Source organism: Homo sapiens, chromosome 10 (assembly GCF_000001405.40).
Source record: "Homo sapiens chromosome 10, GRCh38.p14 Primary Assembly".
In the NCBI taxonomy this organism is placed as follows: Eukaryota; Metazoa; Chordata; class Mammalia; order Primates; family Hominidae; genus Homo; species Homo sapiens.
Window position 1 is genome coordinate 67,754,101 of NC_000010.11, and position 23,919 is coordinate 67,778,019.

A 23,919-nucleotide genomic window follows, 5' to 3' on the forward strand; every position below is an offset into this window, starting at 1 on the left:
TGGTACATACACACCATGGAATGCTCTGCAGCCATAAAAAGGAACAAGATCGTGACCTTTGCAGGGAGATGGATGGAGCTAGAAGCCATTATTTTCAGCAAACTCACACAGGAACAGAAAACCAAATACCGCATGTACAAGTGGGAGCTGAATAATGAGAACACATGGACACAGGGAGGGAAACAACACACACTAGAGCCTATCGGGGGGGCGTTGGGAGGGAGAGCATCAGGATAAACAGCTAATGCATGTGGGGCTTAATACCTAGGTGATGGGTTGATAGGTACAGCAAACCACCATGGCACATGTTTACCTATGTAACAAACCTGCACATCATGCAAATGTATCCCAGAACTTAAAATAAAATAAAATTTAAAAAAAGAGGGAATGAAACTAGACCCCTATCTCTCACCATACACAAAAATCAAATCAAAATGGATAAAAGACTTAAGTCTAAGACCTGAAACTATGAAACTAGTATTAATAGAAGAAAACATTGGGGAAATGCTCCAGGACATTGGTCTGGGCAAGATTTTCTGTGTAAGACCTCAAAAGCACAGGCAACCAAAGCAAAAATAGACAACTGGGATTTTATCAAGATAAAAGTCTTCTGTACAGCAGAGGAAACAATCAACAAAGTGCAAAAACAACCCATAGAACGGGGGAAAAGATCTGCAAACTACGTATCTGACAAAGGATTAATAACCAGAGTATATAAGGAGCTCAAACAACTCAATGGAGAAAAAAATGACAATAATCTGATCAGAAAATGGGCAAAAGAGCTGAATAGACATTTCTCAAAAGAATACATACATGGCTGGACATGGTGTCTCAAGCCTGTAATCTCAGCACTTAGGGAGGCTGACATGGGAGGATCAACTGAGGACAGAAGTTTGAGACCAGCCTGGAAAATATAGCGAGACCTTATCTCTACAAAACAAAAAAATTAAAAAATTACCAATGCCTGTAGTAGTCCTAGCTACTTATGAGGCTGAGGCGAGAGGATCACTTGAGCCCAAGAGTTCAAGGCCGCGGTGACCTATGATCACTCCACTGCACTCCAGCCTGGGTGACAGGATGAGACCTTATCTTTAAAAAAAAAAAAAGGTGATGATATACAAATAGCAATGGGTATATGAAAAAATGCTCAATATCACTAACCATCAGAGAAATGCATATCAAAACTACAATGAGATATCATCTCACCCCAGTTTAAATTGTTCTTATAAAAAAGACAAGCAATAACTGATGCTGGCAAGGATGTAAAGAAAGGGAAGCCATTATACGCGATTGGCAAGAATGTAAATTAGTACAGCCACTATGGAAAACAGTATGGAGGTTCCTCAAAAGACTAAAAATAGAACTACCATATGATCCAGCAATTCCACTACTGGGTATATATTCAAAAGAAAGAAAATCAGCAGGGCATGGTGGCTCATGCCTGTAATCCCAGCACTTTGGGAGGCTGAGGCAGATGGATCATTTGAGGTCAGGAGTTTGAGACCAGCCTGGCCAACATGGTAAAACCCCATCTCTACTAAAAATACAAAAATTAGCCAGGTGTGGTGGCACACGCCTGTGATCCCAGTTATTCATGAGGCTGAGTCAGGAGAATCACTTGAACCAGGGAGCTGGAGGTTGAAATGAGCCGAGATCACACCATTGCACTCCAGCCTGGGCGACAAAAGTGAGTCTCTGCCTCAAAAAAAAAAAAAAAAAAAAGAAAGAAAGAAAGAAAAGAAAATCAATATGCCAAAAAGATATATGCACTCCCATGTTTATCAAAGCACTATTCACGATAGCCAAAATATGGAATTGATCTAAATGCTCATCAATGGAAGAATGGATAAAGAAAAAGTGGTATAAATATTATCCAGCCATAAAAAAGAATGAAATCCTCTCATTTGCAGCAACATGTATGGAACTGAAGTTCATTATCTTAGGTGAAATAAGCCAAGCACAGAAAGACAGATATTGCATGTTCTGACTCATATGTGGGAGGTAAAACAGTGGATCTTATGAAGATAGAGAGTAGACTGGTGGTTACCAGAGGCCAGGTAGGGTGGGGGGAACAGGGAGATGAAAAGAAGTTGATTAACGGGTACATATTTACACCTATTCAATAGTTTAATAGAAGAACTAAGACCTAGTTTTTAGATAAATCAGTAGGGTGTCTATAGTCTACAGTAGTCTATTGTACATTTCAAAAAAGCTAGAAGAGAATAATTCAAATGTTTCTAGCATAAAAAAGACAAATATTTAAGGTGATGGATATCCTAACTACACCAATTTAATATTTACAAATCATGTATTAAATTATCATATGTACCTCAAAACAATGTACATCTATTATGCATCAATAAAAATAAATAATTTTTTAAAAGGCAAGTAACAATATTTTCAAAACACTAAAAGATAAATGAAGTAGCAATACATGCTGTAACATGGATAAACCTTGCAAATGTGCTAAGAAAAAAATGGACACAAAAAGCCACATATTATATAATTCTATTTACATAAAATGTAATAGGCAAACAGAATATAGAGACAGAAAGCAGATTAGTGATTGCAGGGGCTGAGGAAAGTGGGGAGTGAAGAGTGGTTGCTTAATGAGTTCAGGTTTTCCTCTTGGGCTGATAAAAATGCTCTGGAATATACATTAGTGACAGTAACACAATATTATGAATGTAATGGAAACCACTGAATCATACACTTGAATGGTTAAAATGGTGAATTTTACCTCAATATAACAAAAGTAGAAAAATTATCATGTACACAGTTACAGCTATGTAAAAAAATATATATAAGTATAGGGGAAAGGACTAAAAGAATAGTTTTTAAAAGACTTAGGTGGGTTGAGGTTTTTTTCTATTTTTCAAACTTTTTATTAACATCATATTGTTTTCACAACAAAAAAAGATAATTATCATATATTGAGTACCTACTACATATTAAGCACTGTGCTAGGCATTTTGAATCAAGAGTGTTTTCCAGCCTGCTGGATAAACAGAAAACATCTGACAGAAACATGGAATAGAGCAAATGTATCTAGTTCTAGGGGGAAAAACTGAATGCCTTAGTTATCTATTGCTGTATGACAAACTATCCCTAAACATGGCAGCTTTAAACAATAAATATTTAGCAAATATCTCTGTGTATTTAAAGGCATGGGCATAGATGAGCTCTCTAAGGTCAACGTGGTGGTTAATTTTACGTATCAACTCGACTGGGCTAACGGATGCTGTGATGGTTAATACTGAGTATCAACTTGATTGGATTGAAGGATGCAAAGTATTGTTCCTGGGTGTGTCTGTGAGGGTGATGTCAAAGGAGATAAATATTTGAGTCAGTGGACTGAGAGAGGCAGACCCACCCTCACTCTGGGTGGGCACCATCTAATCAGCTGCTAATGCGGCTAGAATAAAGCAGGCAGAAGTTGGAAAGAACAGACTTGCTGAGTGTTCCGACTTTCATCTTTCTCCTGTGGTGGATGCTTCCTGCCCTCGAACATCAGACTCAAAGTTCTTCAGCTTTTGGACTCTTAGACTTACACCGGTGGTTTGCCAGGGGCTCTCAGGCCTTTGGCCACAGACTGAAGGCTGTTGCACTGTCAGCTTCCCTACTTTTGAGGTTTTGGGACTCAGAGTGATCCACCACTGGCTTCCTTGCTCCTCAATCTGCGGACAGCCTATCGTGGGACTTTACCTTCTGATCGTGTGAGTCAATTCTCCTTAATAAACTCTCTTTAATATATACGTCTATCCTATTAGTTCTGTCCCTCTAGAGAACCCTGATTAATACAGATGTCCAGATATCTGGTAAAATGTTATCTATGGGTGTGTTTGTGAGGGTATCTCCAGAAGTGATAAACATCTGCATCAGTAGACTGAGTAAAGAAGACCACCCTCACCAATGCAGGCAGGAAGTATCCAATCCACTGAGGGCCTAAATAGAACAAAAAGGCAGAGGAAGGGCAAATTTTTTCTCTCTTTTATTGAGCTGAGATATCCATCTTTTCCTGCCCCCAGACATCAGCATTCTTGGTTTTTGAGCTTTCAGACCCGAACTGAACTATACCACCAGTTTTCCTGGTTCTCCAGCTTGCGGATGGCAGATCTTGAGACTTCTCAGCCTCCTTAACCACATAAAACAATTCCTATAATAAATCTCCTCATGTGTATATGTATATACACACACACACACACATATATATAAATATATATACACACACACACACACACACACACACACACACATATATCTTAGCCACTCTGTTTCTCTAGAGAACCCTAATACAGTCAAGGAAAAAGACTTGGTTTTCCTATATAATTTAATAGCCCCCCAAAAAATAAGAATTAGTAAAAGGAATGACAGTATCTTGTAAAGAAATAAAATGGTGCTATAATCATAATTCCTTAAAGTTATAAGATGGGTGGTCTGCGGATCTAGTTGTGCCCCAATTATAATCCCAATACATTGATCATAGCTGTATTTTAATGTAATCCTTAAAATTGTCCATTTCAGTTGCCTTTATAAAAACCGCACTACATCAACCCCATATATAGAGCTTGTCCATAGAGTTTTATAGGGAATCAATTCAATTCTATAAATAACTGGGTATAAGATTTCATTCTTAATAAGCTTATTCTGCCCTTCGACATCTGATTTGGTTTAAAAAAAAATAGATTAAGATGTCTTTGGTAAGTCCAGATCTCTGCTATTACAAAGTCAAAGAAAACTACTTTTTTGAGAATTTGAGGTTGAATATTACACTGGTATCACACATTTAAGAAAAGAAGACCCCATCCTTCTTGATTCTTCTTCTTACTTCTTAATTGGCCATGGCATTAAGAGACTGCTTAGGTAGGAAAATCCTGTAAGTAAGCTGCCCCTACCTAAGCTGCTTAGGTAGGAAAATCCTGTAAGTACTAACTAGGATATATCTTCAATCTTCTTCAAACATTTATGTATAAGTACCACAGTGACTAAAATCCAACCCACAATTAATTGCTGAAGCTTTAAAAGTACGGTCATTTGCAATGCAGCAATTCCTTGATAATTATTTCCATCACTTTTCACGATACCTTTAATTTACTGACTAAATCTTAATGAAGGTTTTATTGCCAGTAACTTCATAATTTTCTTTGTCCAATTTGTACTAAGTCCTCTCACATATGGTATCCAAAACATATACCTAGAGTTATTCTCCAATTCATATAAAATTACAGAAAAGAAATCCTAAATAGTGGCAAAGCCTCTAAAACTCTGCAGTTGTTGTCAAACCTATTCCTTTTGAGTGAAGTGCAAAAGCACACAAGGCAGCTAAGTTAATATTACCATACTTTGATCACCTCTTGTTGGTTACTATGTGTTTTGTGTGAAATTTTCATAATACAATTGTGTAAAAGAAAGAACAAGGATTTGGGGTCTGATTGGCCTAGCTTGAATTGTGTGGTAGGCAAAAATCTAAGATGTCCCCAAGATTCCCACCCCTGCTGTTACACTCCCTAAATAATCCCCTTCACTTGTGCAGGACTTGTGAATATAATAGAATAATCACTTTGATAACTGCATTCTATTATATAAAACTCCATTGTAGCAGACTATAGAGGAATTATCGTGCTGACCTTGAAGAAGCAAACTACCATGTTGTGGAAACAGCCACACGGCAAGGAAAAAAGTGGGTAGCCTATAGGAACTGAAAACGCCCCCCTACTGACAACCAGCAAGTCTTACAACCATAGGAGCTAAATTCTGCCAACAACTAGTTATCTTAGAAGAGGACGCCAAACCTCAGATGAGATTGCAGCCCCAGTCACCACCTTGAGACCTGATGAGACCCTAAGCAAAGAACCCAGTCAACACATAACCACATTCCTCACCCACAGAAACTATGAGGTAATAAATTTGTGTTGTTTTACGCCACTAAGTTTATGGTTCTTTCTTATGCAGCAATAGAAAACGAATACAAGTCACATGCCCATTCCTTGGCCAGAGGAGGGTGGGATATCTTGATTGACAGATAAAGTAAAGTTTCATCCAATGGCAGAGGGGTGGTGCCCCTTAAGTACAATTAAGGTGTCAGTATCAGTTGGGAGGATAGATATTGGAATAAAGAACAAAAATTACCCATCACAACACATTCGTTATCTGACATATGCCTTCAACATTCAACTCGTGACTCTTCCCTACTGGAGGCATTGTCTACTGCCATCTACACGTCTCAATTTATATGCCATTGTGCCAGAGACTAACAAATAATACATGAGGGCAACAAAATGAGTGAGAACACTAAGCTAATATTACAAGTTATACCCCTGTCTGCCAATACACTCATGTGTCACTTAATGATATGTTCTGAAAAATCCATCCTTAGATGATTTCATCATTGCGCAAACATTATAGAGTGCACTTACACTAACCTAGATGGTATGGACTACCACACACTTAGTCTATATAATACAGCCCATGGTGTCCCCAACTGGTACCGGTCCGTGGCCTGTTAGGAACCGGGCCACACAGCAGGAGGTGAGCGGGTGAGAGAGTAAAGCTTCATCTGTATTTACAGCCATTCCCCATTGCTCACATTACCGCCTGAGCTCCACCTCCTGTCAGATCAGCATTAGATTCTCATAGGAGCATGAACCCTACTGTAAAGTGCACAACCTACTGTGATGTAGGTTGTGTGTTCCTTATGAGAATCTAATGCCTGATGATCTGTCACTGCCTCCCATCACCCCCAGATGGGACTGTCTAGTTACAGGAAAACAAGCTCAGGGCTCCCACTGATTCTACATTATGGTGAGCTGTGTATTTCATTATATATTACAATGTAATAATAATAGAAATAAAGTGCACAATAAATGTAATGTGCTTAAATCATCCCAAAACCATCCCGTGGAAAATTATCTTCCACAAAACTGGTCTCTGGTACCAAAAAGGTTAGCGACCACTGGTGTAGCCTGTTGCTCCTAGACTACAAACCTGTACAACATATTCAGTAGGCAACTGTAACACAATAGTGTTTGTGTATATAAACATATCTATCTAAACACAGAAAAGATACAGTGAAAATACAGTATTAAAGTTTTATGGGACTGCTGCTATATATGTGGTCCAGCATTGACCCAAATGTCGTTATGAGGCACATGACTGTAATTAGCTATGTGAACTTGGGCAAGCTATTCATGGGCCACGGTTTCCTGCCTGTAGATGAAGAGATTGGACTAACTTTAATGGTTCTTCCAGCATTAAACTTCTATGATTTTATAAAATGCTCCCAAAACCATCAAAATAATTTAAAATAAATTTCTGATTTGCTATAAAAGAACAAAGAAATGCCATACTGCTCCCAATCACATGCCCTGTTCCTCCCAGTATTCTGTCTGCCTCTGAACATGGCACCAAGAAAGGTTTTCTGAGAAAGCCAAAACATATTTGCCTTCCACACCCAAATTAGCTTAATTGAAACCGCCACATAAAAGAACAGAAACACGAGCCGGGCGCGGTGGTTCACGCCTGTGATCTCAGCACTTTGGGAGGCCGAGGCGGGCAGATCACAAGGTCAGGAGATCGAGACCATCCTGGCTAACACAGTGAAACCCCATCTCTACCAAAAATACAAAAAATTACCCAGGCGTGGTGGCAGGTGCCTGTAGTCCCAGCTACTCGGGAGGCTGAGACAGGAGAATAGCATGAACCCACGAGGCGGAGCTTGCAGTGAGCCGAGATCGCACCACTGCACTCTAGCCTGGGCGACAGAGCAAGACTCCGTCAAAAAAAAAAAAAAGAACAGAAACAGGGAGTGGCAGGGAGGAGATCATCAGGATTACCACTGGACCTTTACCAACTGAAATTTGCATATGGTTGCAAAACAATGTTTTATGATATTATTGTCACGAATTAGGAACATATGAATTTTACTTCTGTATTCCTAACTTGCCGCTCACTGCATTAAATGACAATGCTAAAGACCTAAGGTTGGAGCCAAAAGAACTCATTTGGATTTGGAAATTCACACTTTTGGGGGCGGGGGGAATCAACAATTTTGATCTCGGCTCATTCTAGCACTATGATAAATCAGCCAAAAAAAAAAAAAAAAAAGATTATTTCACTGTTTTAAAAGCCTACATTAACTCAAACAAGCTAAAAGTTAAATGTTAAATATAGGTATTTCCCTGGAAATGTTGCAAAGACATTTTAATCACAACTGTTCTCACAAAATACACAATAACTTTATAATCGATCATTTTCCCCATTGTCTTGCTTTCCCCTCCCCCCCCCAAAAAAAAAAAAGCCCTCTCAAAGTAAAAACTTTGAGCAATGTTAACCATAATCAATTCCCATTACTGTCAAGCTTTTAAGCGAGTGAAGAGGATTCTTTAAAGGGGAAGGGAAGGTTACAGAAGAAAAGGAACTTCCAGTAAACATTATCAACATTCAACTGCACAGAAGGAAAGATAAAAAGGGCTTCAAGATCAAAATACAACGAGTAAAATTAGGTAAGGTTAAATTCTAAGTTATCTCAGGGTATAGGTAAGGGAGGAGACCACCCCTCATATTGTCTCATGCCCAATTTCTGCCTCCAAAGAAAGAAGAAGTAAAAACTAAAAGGCAGAAATGAAATCCACAGGCAGACAGCCCGGCGCCACACCCTGGCCCTGGTAGTTAAAGATCGACCCCTGACCTAATCAGTTATGTTATCTACAGATTAGGGACATTGTATAGAAAAGCACTATCCTATTCTGTTCCATTCTAATTACCGGTGCATGCAGCCCCCAGTCACGTACTCCCTGCTTGCCCAATTGATCACGACCCTCTCACGCGGACCCCCTTAGAGTTGTAAGCCCTTAAGTGGGACAGGAATTGCTTACTCGGGGAGCTCGGTTTTTCAGACGTTAAGTCTTGCCGATGCTCCCAGCCAAATAAAGCCCTTCCTTCTTTAACTGGGTGTCTAAGGAATTTTGTCTGCAGCTAGTCCTGCTACGTAGGTACAATCTAAGGACAAGATTTAAAAAACAAAAATGTAGTTCTTGGACAATATCTATTGGAAAAAGTGCAAGTGAATTTTGTGTTTACGATAAAATTCATGCCTGGCAATGTCGGGAATTACTTTGTTCCCATGCAGTATTCATAGAGAAAATGGGATCCCTCCTGTAGCTCTGCCAAAATTTAAAAAAAAAAAAAAATTCCTAAAAGAACAATCTCAGACAAAATTTATCCTTACAAGTCTCAAATATTCTGCTCTCTTCCACAATTAAATGGGTGTAGACACTCAGCACCATAATTTGGTTTCGAGAAATGGTATGGAAGGTCTCAAGAAAAGTTACACACCTTATCAAGTGGAGTCACAACATAGAGGCTTCCAAAGGTCGAGTTGCCTTCCTGCCTTATTATGAAATGTACCATTATGAGAAGGGCAGTGGGGTTTCCATGAACACTCCTAGAAACTTCAACTAGTAAAAGGCCTTCTGTTACTTTTCTCAAATTGCCCATCGACAGAAGTTGGCGCTTCTGTGGCGCTACGTGACAAGGGCTGCGCATGCGCTCTGGGATCAGCCAGGCCCACCCGCGGCACAACCCCAGGCCTCAGTGCCGTCAGGTGGGCTAAGACAGAACAGACCTCGGTTCTCAGGGCTTTAACGAAATAACGCGGGTAAAGCACCTAGGGCAGAAGCCACACAGAACACCAGAAGGCATTAATGGCATTTAAAGGTATTGAATGCAGACTAATGCGCAGAACTTGGTTCTCAGACCACGTCCGCGGCCACCCCTCTCCTGAGAGAGCAGAGAGCACACTTGCAGCCTGACATCTCCCAGTTGAGCTCGGCAATGAAGGGATCACTGGGGATTTAAAAAATGGGAGACGGCTGCTTGGGCAGAAGCCCGAGGGGGCGGGCGGGGGGGGGGAAGGGACGAGCCCACAGGCAGCATCCCGACACCTCACACTTCCTGCCTCAATGCACAGAAGAAAGTGTTCTGAAGGCGACGCCCCCAGTCTTGGCGGGAAACGCCGCGGAAGACGCTTCTCTCGCAGAAATGCCAAATTTTCGGGAGCGCGGGCTCGCAGCACGTAACAGAACAGATCTTTTTGTTTCACGGCCCTCTCGTAGACCTAATAAGCGCGAGGGCGAAAACCAGGTCAGCGACCAGAAGCCAGGCAAGGTTGCGATTTTCGGAGCACAGCGAAGGGGAGAGTTTCTAAGTTCTGAATGTACCTCTATTTAGGGTGGTTTCTATTATTTCTTCGCGTCTACCCTGTAGTTGCCGCACCCTGAGCCCTCAGCCCCGCCGCTTCGCACGGAGCGGAGCTCAGAGGGTGCGCGCTCCGCCCTTTCGCGGGCCTGGCATGAGCGCAGTGGTTGTTACACTAAAGTGTCTCCGCCTGTCGAATATTCTCGTGGCAGCGATGGCCGAGTGGTTAAGGCGTTGGACTTGAAATCCAATGGGGTCTCCCCGCGCAGGTTCGAACCCTGCTCGCTGCGGAAGCGGGTGCTCTTATTTTTTCTATTTTTTTAAATAAACACCTTCAAATGAAAACTTTTACTCTTCTCTGTATTTTCAATGCCTGTCAGCTAAATGGCGCGCCTACGGAGTGGTTTTATACGCTGTAGAAAAGCGAATAAATGTCAGTGCTGCAAACATGTACTGTTTACACCAAGAGGAAAATCCTTCCACTGTCCTAAAAGGCAAGGTAACTCTTCGTGCTCCATGAGAAGAGCAAGGTGGCAAAATAGAAATAAAATGAATATAAATATTGACGCAAGTTTTCGGGCTATCACAGCCTGAGCAAGCTATCAGCTCACTAAAACTAAGAAAAAGCTATGCCACCTTCCCTTCCATCCCAGAATCACTTCCGACGGTTTCCAGACCACATCCAAAAGTGGTATGAAATGGGAAATAATAAAAGCAATTTTAAAGTTCTACTTATAAAGCATCTTAGATACATCCACATAATGGAACACTATGCATGTAAGCATTAAAATGATGTTAATGGCCGGGCGCGGTGGCTCACGCTTGTAATCCCAGCACTTTGGGAGGCCGAGGCGGGCGGATCACGAGGTCATGAGATCGAGACCATCCTGGCTAACACGGTGAAACCCCGTCTCTACTAAAAATACAAAAAAATTAGCCGGGCGTGATGGCGGGCGCCTGTAGTCCCAGCTACTCAGGAGGCTGAGGCAGGAGAATGGCGTGAACCCGGGAGGCGGAGCTTGCAGTGAGCCGAGATTGCGCCACTGCACTTCCACCTGGGCCACAGAGCGAGACTCCGTCTCAAAAAAAAAAAAAAAAAAAAAATGATGTTAATGATGTGTGAGGGCCTTCCCAATGCATTGCCAAATGCAAAAAGGACAGATCAAAAAACAGCACATCATACTATGATCATATTTTTGTTAAGCAACTCATGTATATACCCATCTATGTGGGAAGAATGGGAGAGAAAGAGAGAGATGGAGAATGAATGGAGGCTGGAAAGAAATACACCAAAGTGTTAGCAGGGATTATTATCCCTGGGTGGTGTGATTTGGGAAGATTTTTATTTTCTTAAATAATTTTTTCCTTAACTGGGTTTTCTAAAATTTGTACATGGACCCAGTATTATGTTTTAAATAAGAAAATTGTGAGGTTAGTCTTTGGGACCCTACACATCCCCTGTCTGCTACCTTTAACCCACTTTCACCATATCTCTCCCACCCCATGTTTCCCAGGTGCTCTTATGGACATACCTGATACCTCAAGGCTAGGGATAGTTTTCTGTGGTATCTACGTGGATTCCACGCACACAGCCCCATCCTATTTGAGACTTGGCTGAACACACACACTCACCACATTTACATTTTCAATCCATCCTCTCTGCCCAATCCCCTCCCTTTCTGCCCCCATTTAAGTCACTTACAAGCAGCTGCATTAGTTTCCTAACTGGTCACCTTTCCTTTATCAGTCAGGATTACATTCAGCTGCAAATAACAGCAAATCCAATTCTAGCGGCTTAAACTCATAGGGATTTGTCTCAAAAAACCTGGGAGATTAATACCGTTCCTGTGTCCAAGAGAATGAAATAGTGTATAACTTACGTGTTTCCATTTAAAAATTTTAAAAAAATACTTGACACTATAGTAAAATGTCAATACTGGCCGGGCGCAGTGGCTCATGCCTGTAATCCCAGCACTTTGGGAGGCCAAGGCGGGTGGATCACCTGAGGTCAGGAGTTCGAGACCAGCCTGGCCCCATGGTGAAAACCCCATTTCTACTAAAAATATGAAAACTAGCTGGGCGTGGGGACAGGGACCAGCAATCCCAGCTACTCAGGAGGCTGAGGCAGAGGAATCGCTTGAACCGGGAGGCGGAGGTTGCGGTGAGCCGAGATCGTGCCACTGCACTCCAGCTTGGGCAACAAGAGTGAAACTCCATCCCAAAAAAAAAAAAAAAAAAAAAGTTAATCCAAGAAGAGATATCCAAAATCCAAAACTATAAATTAAAACATTCCATCAAAAAGGCAAATTAATGATCAATTTTATTTCTAAATGGTACTCTCCAAGCTGTAAAGGTAGCTTCGTGAAATCATATCTTACTGTTTCAAGAAATTTTTTCAAATAAATAATCACTTGTCACCATTTTTTAAAAAAGAAAGAAAGAACAAAGAAATCTGGGCATAGGAAATTCTCAGATGGAACAGGAAACAGGCCTCTTTCCATCTTTCTGCTCTGCCATTTTTAATATGCATATACAGCTTTTCATCTCATAGTCCCAATATGGTTGCTATACCTTCAGACCTTACACATGCATTCAGCCAAGAAGGGGAGAGACAAGAACCCTCTTTTATATCTCATTTACCCAAACTATGTATCATGGCTATCATTAGCTAGAAGGAATCTTGAGGAAGTTTAGCTGGGTATATTGCTCCCCAAATTGAAATTGGGAAGGAAGAAAATTAGATGGTACTAAGTGAAAATCAGTTACGTCTACCACAGTCCTATAACAGGAAAGTCAAAGCTTATAGACATTGGGCTTTCAAGACAAGTCCCCTGCCTTCCTTTCTGGCCTTCCCACCCTTCTCCTCCTTCTCCTTTGGAGTTATTGGAAGACCTCCCAGTGCTGCATGCTGGCTCATACCTTTGGGCCTTTTTAACTGTTCACATGCAACTACCTGGAATATCTTCACCCTTGTCCCCTCACTAGAGGAAGAGGGCTACCTAGCATTTGAAATCCCTTCTTATTTAGGGCACTTGCTTTCCTTTTGAACCTAGGTGTGAGGCTGTAATCCACTCCCAACCCCACTCCCAGCATAGAAGCTGAAAAAGTCACATACTTGCTGTCTCAGCCTCCCTTGCAGCTGAGGAGGCAGCATGTGACCTAGACTCGGCCAATCAGATGTGCCCATCTCCAACTTTCAATCAAGAGCTATTATTAATAATACAAAAAGCAGGTAGGATAGAAATCCACCCTTGCAGTGGGCAGAGGCAACAATGGCACTCACAGGGATTGCCAGGGCCAGAGCTGCAACTGGAGTTTACAGCTGTTCAGCAACGGAACAGTAGGGTCTGCACGAGACTAATTTTGTGGCGTCATTCTGCTGTGATCTTGGACTCTGCCTACCCTAACTTACTCCTGTTCTACTTTCCAAAAGTGATTTTGCAGCCTTCTTGGCAATTCTACAAACTATTCAGTATCCTTCCAGTAAGTTCCTATGAGTTTCTGCTTAAATCAGCCCCATTCAAAAAAAAATTTTTTTTGGCTTCCAAAAGTTATAGTATAACCCCCTCTCACCCCATCATTTTCTGCTAAGAAAACTCATATTCTTTCAAGTCTCACTTCTTAGGGAAAGCATTCCTGCAAAATCTCCCAGGCTGATTCAGAAGCCACCCCTTAGGCAGGATGCGGTGGCTCACACCTGTAATCCGAGCACTTTGGGAGGCGGAGGTGGGCGGATCAGCTGAGGTCAGGAGTTCAAGACAAGCCTGGCAAACATGGCAAAACCCTGTCTCTACTAAAAATACAAAAATTAGCTGAGCGTAGTGGTGCACACCTGTAGTCCCAGCTACTCGGGAGGCTGAGGTAGGAAAATCGCTTGAACCCAGGAGGTGGAGGTTGCAGTGAGCCCAGCATTGCACTGCAGCCTGGGGGACAGAGCAAGACTCCATCTCCAAATAAATAAATAAATAAATAAAGCCACCCTATTTTTTATATTTTTTTCTTTTTCTTTTTCTTTCTTTTTTTTTTTTTTTCTGAGACAGGGCCTTGCTCTGGTCACCCAGACTGGAGTGCAGTGGCAATCACAGCTCACTGCAGCCTCAGCCTCGGACTTAATTGGTCCTCCCACCTCATCCTCCTGAGTAGTTTGGACTGCAGGTGCACACCACCATGCCTAGCTAAATTTTTTTTATTATTTTTTTGTAGAGACAGGGTCTCACTATGTTGCCCAGGCTGGTCTCAAATTCCTGGCTCAAGGGATCCTCCCATCTCAGCCTCCCAAAGTGCTGGGATTACAGTCCTGAGCTACAGTGCTTAGCCTCCAGAAACCCCTTTAATTCTCCCATTTCCTATTATAGCAAGGCTCACATTGCACTATTTCTGCCTGTTTGTCTTTCTTACCACTAAATGGTAAACTCCCTGAGGATGTGTAAAGGGATCATATCTCTCATTTTTGTGCCCCTACATACCACAGAAAAGGGACTCAAATTTTTGATGAAGAAATGAATGAATATTCATTTCTTCATCAAAGAAGAAATGCTGAAGTATGGACGTCAGCACATGTCCAAACTTCACCCCTAGAATGCCCAAAAAAAGTGGGAGAGAAAGGAGGGGCTTAACATGCTGTTCTCCTTTTGAAGGTCACTAATCTTTGCCTTAGTATAATTTATTGTAATATTGAGTATCCCCCACCTAGAATAGTTTTAATATAAAAGAGGGCAGAGGACAACAGCCTATGTACCCTTCCTTCCCTTTCCATATTTTTCCTTACCTTTTCTTCCCATTCTTTGTCTTCTAGCACTGAAAGGGCAGACAGAACCAGGAGGCAAGTACATACAGACCTCTGCCTCCATGGGTCACCCCCACCTTTGTCTCCTTGAGAATGTTCACTTTCCAACTGGCCTCCATGCAACTCGAGGTTTAGCTCTCTCCATGATGAGCAAAGAAAAATCCATGGAAGGGGTGGGGGTGGATGTGGAAGAGGTTCTGCAGTGCACTCCTCTTCTCAGAGGAAACCATTTCAACTCCTCTTTCCACATTTCTCTTCTCCAGAGTTCTCTTATCCACTACCAACCCTCCTGTGCATCCCCTCGAGCCAGCTTTTTCTGACCCAACCTCACATGATGCACTGTCTTGAGGATTTTCTCTCAAGACCCCAGCTTTTTCATTCTTTTATGTTACACAGCAATTCAGCCTTGTCCCTGTGCCTCAACATGCCTGGCAATCAGACCCCTCTTCGAAGGCAGAGGAAGTTATAATATCAAGGTCCCCTTCTCCCAAATGTTTTTCTACCTACTTCCTTTAGTAGAAATTAGGTCCTGCAACTTTCTGATCAGTGTTCAAAGGTTTTAAACATAAATAGACTGAAGTGAATTTTTTGCAAATTGTAATCAGTTAATCTGTAGAAATGCTAAATTTACAATTATCCTTCCCTTCTAAATCCAGGTCCCAAATCCATTCCAGTTTGTGGCATTTCCAGCCATGGAGCAGGATACACCCACTTGGAATGATCCTGATATTTCCCTATTCCTTAACCCATTTCCTATTCAACCCAAGTGCCATTGAGTTTGCCCCTAAATATGCTGAGAATCAACTTTGTTCCATATTTACTACCACCACCCAGTCCAAATCAACACTACCTCTCATCTCAACTACTTCTCGGCCTCTTAATTATCTCCTCCAATCCACTCTTCCTCCCCTCCAATCTGTTCTCCATAAAATAAATTTTTCTTTTAAAATGCACATTTGGTCTTATAACCTTCCTCCTGAGAACTCTTCTGGGGATTTCCATGTGCTTTTACAATAAAGACTAGAATCACTAGCATGACCCCATAGCTCTCCATGATCCTGCATGGCATAATTACCGGGCCTCTCCCTGTCATTCTCTAGCCAAATGTACTTTCTTTTCTTTTAGTTCCTTGAAAAGACCAAACTCTTTCCCACCTTAGGAATTCTGTACATGTTCCAATGTCTCCCTCCCCATCAAACTGATCAGTCCTCCTTCTTATGTAATTTCATACCATTTTACTCTTTTTCTTCACAACACATCATGCTTTGTGATATTTTAGTGTGAAATATTTGCTTAATGTCTCTGTGTGTGTGTACACGTGTGTGTAAAACCACAAAATCCCCTTATCTGCTATTTAATGGGCCTTCAATAAGTAATATTGTTGAGTGAATTTTGTGATTGTGAGGATCAGAAAGCAAGAGGTCTCAGAACACCTGAAGGGGTGGGAAGCAGAGGGTAAACTGTTTTCCTGCAGCTTTGGGGATGAATCAAAACTGTGCCTGAAGAGATTTGTGCCCTGAGTGCATAGATCTGCAGGAATATTGCAGCTCAACCATTTGATATATTGCACCACTGTTTAGCATGATTTATGAAGCTGTTGTTCTGTTTTAACTCAACATGTTCATTGTAAAGGAGTTTCATCCTCAGAGGTTTCATTAATGGAGGCATTGTTGTGTAGTGAGGCAGTAGAAAAAGGAAGTGAGAGATAGGGCTGGCCTACAACCTGTGTAAAGCTTGCATTTCAAGTCCCCTCTGGAGGGAATGCCCATTTCTGGAGTCTTGTTTCCCAATATGCCCATGTCCCCAAAAACATCTGGTCTCAGGCTCTTTCTACATACTAGAGTGCAAACAACTAGTAATAATACCTAAGTCTTAGCTCCTGCAGGGGTGAGAGAGACAGAGGCTCTGACACTGGAATTTTCAGGTAAAACAGATATCCTGTTCTATCTGAAGCACTGATGAAGAAAACATAGAGCTTTCAGCTCTTGTTCCAATGACTAGTTTCTTTCCCAATCTGCATGAAGTTGGTCAGTCAAGCTCACCCAGGCTCATAGACTAGAAGCCCCAGGAAATGAATTATTTCTGTTTCCTTCCCACCATCTCACACACATGCTCTTAAAATATCCATTCCCTTCCCTTGCCTCGGATCCTGGGTCCTGAGACAGGCTCTCACAGCCCAGAGAGTGGTTGTGATGGACTTAGTCTTACCTCAGCTGCTTTGTCTGGTGCTGGGCTGCCAAGGGAGGCATGCATGAGCAAGGCCAGTTCTCCATTCATATCTCAGACTATTTAGAAGAATCCAGTGACAGAGGACGTGGCCTGTGGGCTTTATGCTTGTGATGCTTTCTGCTGCTTGAGGTCGGGGTGGAGAAGAGGCTAGAGCTGACAAGCTTCTCACTCAGGGGCTGAGGTGGGGCACAGCTCCTGTCTGCTGGACTCATAAATCTCCTGGTCCCCACCCCAGGGATCTCAGAGCCCCCTTTGTTCTTTTAATTTTTATTCTAATAAAACCTCCTACATAACATAGGTCTACAAAGACTCTTGGGGAATATATTTCCCTCCCAAACATATTCATTTGAGACACAATTATCAAAACATTTGTTCAGGCCAGGCGCAGTGGGTTCCACCTGTAATCCCAGCAGTTTGGGAGGCCAAGGCAGGCAGATCACTTGAGGTCAGGAGTTTGAGACCAGCCTGGCCAACACGGTGAAACCCCGTCTCTACTAAAAACACAAAAACTATCTGGACATGGTGTCGCATGCCTATAATCCCAGCTACTCGGAAGCTGAAGCCAGAGAATCTCTTAAACCTGGGCAGTGGAGGTTGTAGTGAGCCAAGATTGTGCCACTGCACTCCAGCCTGGGCAACAGAGCAAGACTCAGTCTCAAAAAAAAAAAATTGTTCAGCACACGAACTTTAGACACATTTTATCTGACACCACAAGTCATTCCAAGAGATGAATATACACAGTATCCCTCTGAAAGCTACTTGTCTTCCAGATGTAAAGACATCTGTCTCCATCATTGGAGACAGAATGCTAGTGTTTTGAAATAACCTGTGCTTAGGATGTTGGAGCACAGAAATGCTGCACTTAATTTTGGTACCCACCTCTAGTGCAGGGATTAGTTAGCAACTTTTTCTACAGGTCAGCCAGTAAATATTTTAGGTGTTGCAGGCCATATGGTTTCTGTTGCAACTACTCAACTCTGCCTGTGTATCACAAAAGCAGCCATAGATAATCTGTAAACAAATGAGTGTGACTGTGTTCCAATAAAACTTTATTTACAAAAACAGTGGGCTGGATTTGGCCTGTGGCTATAGTTTATTTCTGCTCTAGAGGACTCTCCTCACTATAATAAAAAAAGTTCTTCCCAGGTTATCACTGTGAAGATATCATTAAGTGGGACACTGTCAAGAGGCTGGTTGACGTTTCACTAGTTCTTCCTGGTTTATACACATCCAAGAAATCTCATTATTTCCATTAACACAAAGATACCAAGAAAGGACATGAATGTTTTTTAAGATCATTTTATCTCAGTACATCAGAATGGCCCAAATCCTTCCAGAATCCTCTCATGTACACTGGGATTGTCTGCTCCACTTGACAGCAGATGGGGTGCAGGTCCTGGAAATGCTTACCTAGTTTCTCCTTTCTCTGTAGTTAGTACTGTATCTGCTGTTGTAAACAAAGCTTTTCAGCCCTTGAGCATGTTAAGATGTAACCTGAAACCAGGTTTGCAAGTTTATTTGTGAAGTAATTTGAAGGAATAGGAAGAATTTGAAGGAATAGGAAAAACAGAGACTTTGAAGTCAGAGCAACCAAGCATCAAATATAGGCTCCTTCCCTTTCTTGCTATGTAACTTTGGGCAGTTTGCATAACCTCTCTGAGCCTTAATTTCCTTATCCACTAAGTGGTAATAATAATTACTTCTACCTCATGGCATTGTCAGCAGTCACTGCCATTTTCTAAGTTCTAACCACAGGTCAGGCACTGTGATGAGTGTTCATTCATTTAACATCCAAAACAGACCACAGCTAGTTTATAGATGAGGAAGTGAAGATGAGATCACATGCTGGTATTCTCTTCCCCTTTTCACCAGAATGGGTCCCTCATAGAGGTATCTGCAACCAACTCAAGGGAGCCACTGGACAGGGATAAAAAAAGGCCATTTGACTCATGTTATTGAAGGAGTGGAATGTTCTTTGCTCTTTTGTCTCTCTGAGCTGGATAAAGGGAGGAACAAGTTCCCTGGGAGTTGATGTACAAAGCTGCCCAGAGTTGACTCTAGCTGAGGATGTGTTTGGGACTGCATGAGGCCATCTCTGAGAGGCTAACAGCAGCTGCTCTGACATTCTCTCTGATCTAGGCCTTTTTTTTTTTTTTTTTTTTGGTGCCTATTATAGCTCATGATTGGTTTTACAATATAATTCCCCAGCCTGTGTAACATTCATCATTCCAGATTCAGCTCTGAACACTTTTTAAAAAATATATATCAACTGCATGATATGTGTCAATGACCCCTGAATATGAGATATTCTATCCTTGAAAGGAAAGACTTGGAGGAGCCTTCTCTCCTGGCATCCCTGGACTGCGTAAGGCTGTTTAGTCACCATCACCATTGCCTCTTTTTTTTTTTTTTTTTGTGAGAAGGAGTTTTGCACTTGGTGCCCAGGCTGGAGTGCGGTGGCGCAAACTCTGCCTCCCAGGTTCGAGCAATTCTTCTGCCTCAGCCTCCCAAGTAGCTGGGATTACAGGCATGCACCACCACGCCCGGCTAATTTTGTATTTTTAGTAGAGACAGGTTTTCACCATGTTGGCCAGGCTGGTCTCGAACTCCTGAACTCAGGTGATCTGCCTGTCTCGTTCTCCAAAAGTGCTGGGATTATAGGCGTGAGCCACCATGCCCAACCACCATGGCCTCTTTCTAGACACCGTTCTGACCACCACTCTCTCCTGCCCGCAGACGTCCAGTAGGTGGCTGGCAGAGTAAAGGCCAAGCTTCCCAGTTTCATTCACAAGGCCCTTCATAATTTGGCCCTAACATCTTTTCAACTTTGTCTCATACTACTGCCCAGCATGACTCCATAAGACAAGTTAGGCTGCCTTACACACTCCCACAGAACAGAATAGCAATTTCTGGTCCTTTCACATATTGACATCCTTGGCTAGAAACTTCTCCAGTCCTTAATGGTTTCCTGGAACATACACACTCCTCAACATGCACACACACACACACACACACACTCCACACACATGCACACACATAGATTTAAGAACATACACACAAATAAATTTAAATATATATAAGCAATAACTAATTTATGTTTGGTCTCATTTTCAACAAATACTCCAAGGCCGGCCATGGTAGCTCATGCCTGTAATCCTAGCACTTTGGGAGGCTGAAGCAGGCGGGTGGCTTGAGGTCAGGAGTTCGAGACCAGTCTGGCCAACATGATGAAACCCCATCTCTACTAAAAACACAAAAATTAGCCGGGCGTGGTGGCGGGCACCTGTAGTCCCAGCTACTTGGGAGGCTGAGGCAGGAGAATCACTTGAACCACGGGGGGCAGCGGTTGCAGTGAGCCAAGATCACGCCACTGTTCTCCAGCCTGGGCGATGGAGCGAGGCCGTGTCTCAAAAAAATTAAAAAAGAAAAAGAAATACTCCAGAAAAGCTAGGTATACTAGAAAAACAGTCAAGAATTAAAACACCAAGAATCTTATTTCATGGCAAGACAAAGCAGTGATTTTTGTTATTAAATAATATTAATTTGCTTATTGAATAGGTAATATATTCTCATGGTTCAAAAATCACAGTGGCTCCCTCTCACCCCTGTCCTCCTTCCACCGAGGTCCCCTTCCCAAAGGCCATCAGTTATCAGTTTCTCACTTTTTATTTCAATGTATTCTTTATGCACATACAAGAACATACATATTGTACACAAATGTTAGCATATTATTCAAAATGTTCTGAACCCTGGTTTTGTTATTTAAAGGTATACACTATCTTTCTGTATGAAGAGTTGGCTCATTAAAAGTGGCCTCTGCTAACTCATATGCCAGCTGCAGGTAGAGCTCACTGCCTCAGAATAAATAGATCATTATTTATTTAACCAAATCCCTATTGAAGACCATTAAAGTTGTTTCTAATCTTTTGATTTCCCAAAAACAAATGCTTACTAAAAAAAAAAAAAAAAAACTCTTGTATATGTGAGATTTTCTAAAGCAGGAATCTTAACCCAAGTCATCCAGAATTAGAAGGGGTCAGCCCTTTGTTCAGGTATCAGGAATTGGGCACAAGAAATCACTACAGTCCAGCAGTCCTAGAAAAACAGCCTACGCAAATACCCTAGAAAAAGGAAGCACACTCACTCCCACCTCAGTCTATTCCATTTCCTGGGAAAAGAAAGAGCCGGAAGGAAAAGTATTCCTTTACCTTATGACTTCTCAAATGAGTCAATTCTTAGAAACTGTTCCTTTCTTTACTATTTCTGTCTCCTCTCCCTTCTCCTTAGCTCCATAAGCTCCCCAGAAAGACTGGACTTCCTGGAATTTTTTACCAACAATTCAAGATGCTCCAGTCATAATTTCTGTGACCATAGCCTCTGCTAACTCAAATACCTTCTGGGTGTAACACTCACTGCCTCTGGCTCAGAAGAGGGACAGATAATGACTGGAGTTACAGAGAAAGTAGGTCTGGAGCCTTCCCTGCAGAGTAGCAAGGGTCATTTATAAAGCAAGAGAGGGGTGGGAGATCCATGAGACCCACTCTCAGTTCCTGCTTCTGCTTGCAGAACCTTTCAGGGGTGAGATGTATAACTATGAATTTTTTTCAATACCTACATGTATATCATGACACAATCCCAACTCCTTTGCAAGACCGACTTGAAGGTACATTCATTCTGGAAACCAATTTATTTCTAAAATGCAGTCAAAAAGGCTCAGAGATGCTGTTATCTACTGCTTCTCCTATTCCTGCTTTTGCCACAAAAATTAGCCAATATATCGTTCAAATCTACTTGTGACTATTTGATTTTGGTTTACATTCATCCAGGCTTGAAAAATGACCAGGGCTGAGGCATATTGATGCCTCCTGAGCCACTTATTTCTAGCACATATTAATACATCGGCAATACCTTCAAGTAGTATGTCTTTCTGAATTATTCTTTGGGTTTTTTTTTCTCCCACTGCTTTTAAAGCTTCTTTTTAAAAAATAACACTCAAACCATTTTTCTCAAGATTGTCTCTATAAAACATCCAACCTGTTACCGGCTAGGCTGTATCTTCACATCTCAGTTTTTTAGTTGCTCTTTTTTACTCTCTATTATTATTACTACTACATTTGAGGATTTCTCAGTGGGGGTAATGTTTGGCTACTGGGGAAATAGGGAGGTTTTCATCTTTCCAGCTAAAATCTACCACAAAGCTGTAACATTTTCTTGTCATGACTCTTCGGGCTGCAATGTCACAGGTTCTGGTGGATGCTGTCTACATTTTTTAAAATATAAAAGTATCAGACTTCTTATATGAGTCAGGGCCTCAGCAGGAAACAGAAAGCACTGTCAATTTAGAACAATTCTATTCAGATTTAATAAAAAGACTACAAAGGTATAGGGAGAGTATAAAGAAACCACAAGGGACACTGAGCTGCCATCACCCCTAAGAAGGGAGAGGGCAGCCACCAGATTCCTGAAGGAGAAAGTTCTGAGGCTAGGGCTGCCCCTGAGGAAGAATAAATATATACTCCTAAATTGCATTGCTAAAGAGGACACAACCAGGGCAAGGTGATCCTTCTGGGAGGGAGCTGGGGTGGTAATATACCACCTCACTCATCTCCCTTCTTCTGCTCCCCAGTTAGGCCTCCCTGTTGGCCAAACGCAACTGCTCAGCCTCTGTGTCTGAGAACAGGACACGGAGTGGGTCTGGAAAGACAAACAGGAGATAGCTGGGACTCGGACTTACAAAAAACCTGGGAAACAGAGAAAATAATCATCCGTAATCCAGCACCTTAACACATTGATCTTTCCTATATTTATATTGTCTAATATATGGTTACATTAAAAATTAAATTATTAGGGGGATGGTGGCATGTGCTTATAGTCCCAGCTACTCAGGAGGCTAAGGCAGGAGGCTGATGTGGGAGGATCACTGGCGTTCAGGAGTTTCAGTACAGCCTGGGTAACATAGCAAGACCCTGTCTCAAAAAAAAAAAAAAAAAATTGCCAAGGCTGGAGTGCAGTGGCACAATGACAGGTCACTGCATGCAGCCTTGAGCTCCTGGGCTCAAACCATCCTCCCACCTCAGCCTCCAGAGTAGCCGGAACTAAAGACATGCGTTACCATGCCCAGCTAATTTTTTTCTTTTTTGCATGGATGGGATCTTGCTATGTTGCCTAGGCTGATCTGTAACTCCTAAGTTCAAGTGATCCTCCTGCCTCTGCCTCACAAAGCACTGGGATTATAGGCATGAGCCATTGCCCCCAGCCCCCACCAAAAAAATTCTTAATTCTATATCTAATCATTTCAAAAAATAAGAATTACAAAATTACAAATTAAATCATTAAATCATTGACTATTTCAAACATACAGAGATGCACAAAAGATAACATCATATATTTTGTATTTTTCATTAAAGTTATGGACTTTTTGCTGCTCCTTTGTCTTCATAATCATGATTTTTTTTTTATTTTTCCTTTTTGGTTCTGTCTCTGGAGACATAATCATTGTTTTTAACAGCTCTATAGTAGACTACAAAGTAGCTGCATCAAATTTAAGAAATCAACTGTTGCACACTTAAACTCTTTTTTTCTTTGCATGTAATGTTGTTATGTGTATCTTTATGATACAAGCTTTTTTCCATAATTCGTGTCATTCCTTTAGCCCTAGATCTATAGTTCCAAGAATGCAAATATTAAGGCAGAGGATATGAACATGTTTA

The 23,919-nt window shown here is 41.7% G+C and overlaps 1 protein-coding gene and 1 non-coding gene across 2 annotated transcripts in view, besides 6 other annotated features; one reads left to right on the forward strand and one right to left on the reverse strand.

Moving 5' to 3' along the window:
- Positions 1 to 9,494, reverse strand: part of CTNNA3 (catenin alpha 3) — a 1,851,072-nt gene extending 1,841,578 nt beyond the window's left edge. Inside the window, exon 1 of the mRNA XM_047425124.1 lies at positions 9,334 to 9,494. The gene's annotated coding sequence lies outside the window, so the exon portion shown is untranslated. The remainder of the gene's footprint in view (positions 1 to 9,333) is intronic.
- Positions 9,371 to 9,665: an enhancer, noted in NCBI's record as "tiled region #10071; HepG2 Activating DNase matched - State 4:PromP, and K562 Activating non-DNase unmatched - State 2:TssF". NCBI's record gives its function as "activates a minimal TATA promoter and a strong SV40 promoter by Sharpr-MPRA in HepG2 and K562 cells {active_cell/tissue: HepG2 | K562}" and the evidence as "EXISTENCE:reporter gene assay evidence [ECO:0000049][PMID:27701403]".
- Positions 9,778 to 9,947: an enhancer, noted in NCBI's record as "experimental_16073 CRE fragment used in MPRA reporter constructs". NCBI's record gives its function as "activates a minimal promoter by MPRAs in K562 erythroleukemia cells, with activity observed for the non-introgressed 10:69523721 or rs16924798 variant allele {active_cell/tissue: K562}" and the evidence as "EXISTENCE:reporter gene assay evidence [ECO:0000049][PMID:34662402]".
- Position 9,863: a transcriptional cis regulatory region, noted in NCBI's record as "Neanderthal adaptively introgressed variant 10:69523721 (GRCh37/hg19 assembly coordinates) or rs16924798 in the experimental_16073 CRE". NCBI's record gives its function as "modulates activity of the experimental_16073 enhancer by MPRAs in K562 erythroleukemia cells {active_cell/tissue: K562}" and the evidence as "EXISTENCE:reporter gene assay evidence [ECO:0000049][PMID:34662402]".
- Positions 10,051 to 10,300: an enhancer, noted in NCBI's record as "active region_3450". NCBI's record gives its function as "activates an Ori minimal core promoter by ATAC-STARR-seq in GM12878 lymphoblastoid cells {active_cell/tissue: GM12878}" and the evidence as "EXISTENCE:reporter gene assay evidence [ECO:0000049][PMID:35858748]".
- Positions 10,403 to 10,484, forward strand: TRS-TGA1-1 (tRNA-Ser (anticodon TGA) 1-1). Its single transcript has one exon. It is a non-coding gene; the product is annotated as a tRNA-Ser (tRNA).
- Positions 16,803 to 16,992: an enhancer, noted in NCBI's record as "active region_3451". NCBI's record gives its function as "activates an Ori minimal core promoter by ATAC-STARR-seq in GM12878 lymphoblastoid cells {active_cell/tissue: GM12878}" and the evidence as "EXISTENCE:reporter gene assay evidence [ECO:0000049][PMID:35858748]".
- Positions 17,173 to 17,332: an enhancer, noted in NCBI's record as "active region_3452". NCBI's record gives its function as "activates an Ori minimal core promoter by ATAC-STARR-seq in GM12878 lymphoblastoid cells {active_cell/tissue: GM12878}" and the evidence as "EXISTENCE:reporter gene assay evidence [ECO:0000049][PMID:35858748]".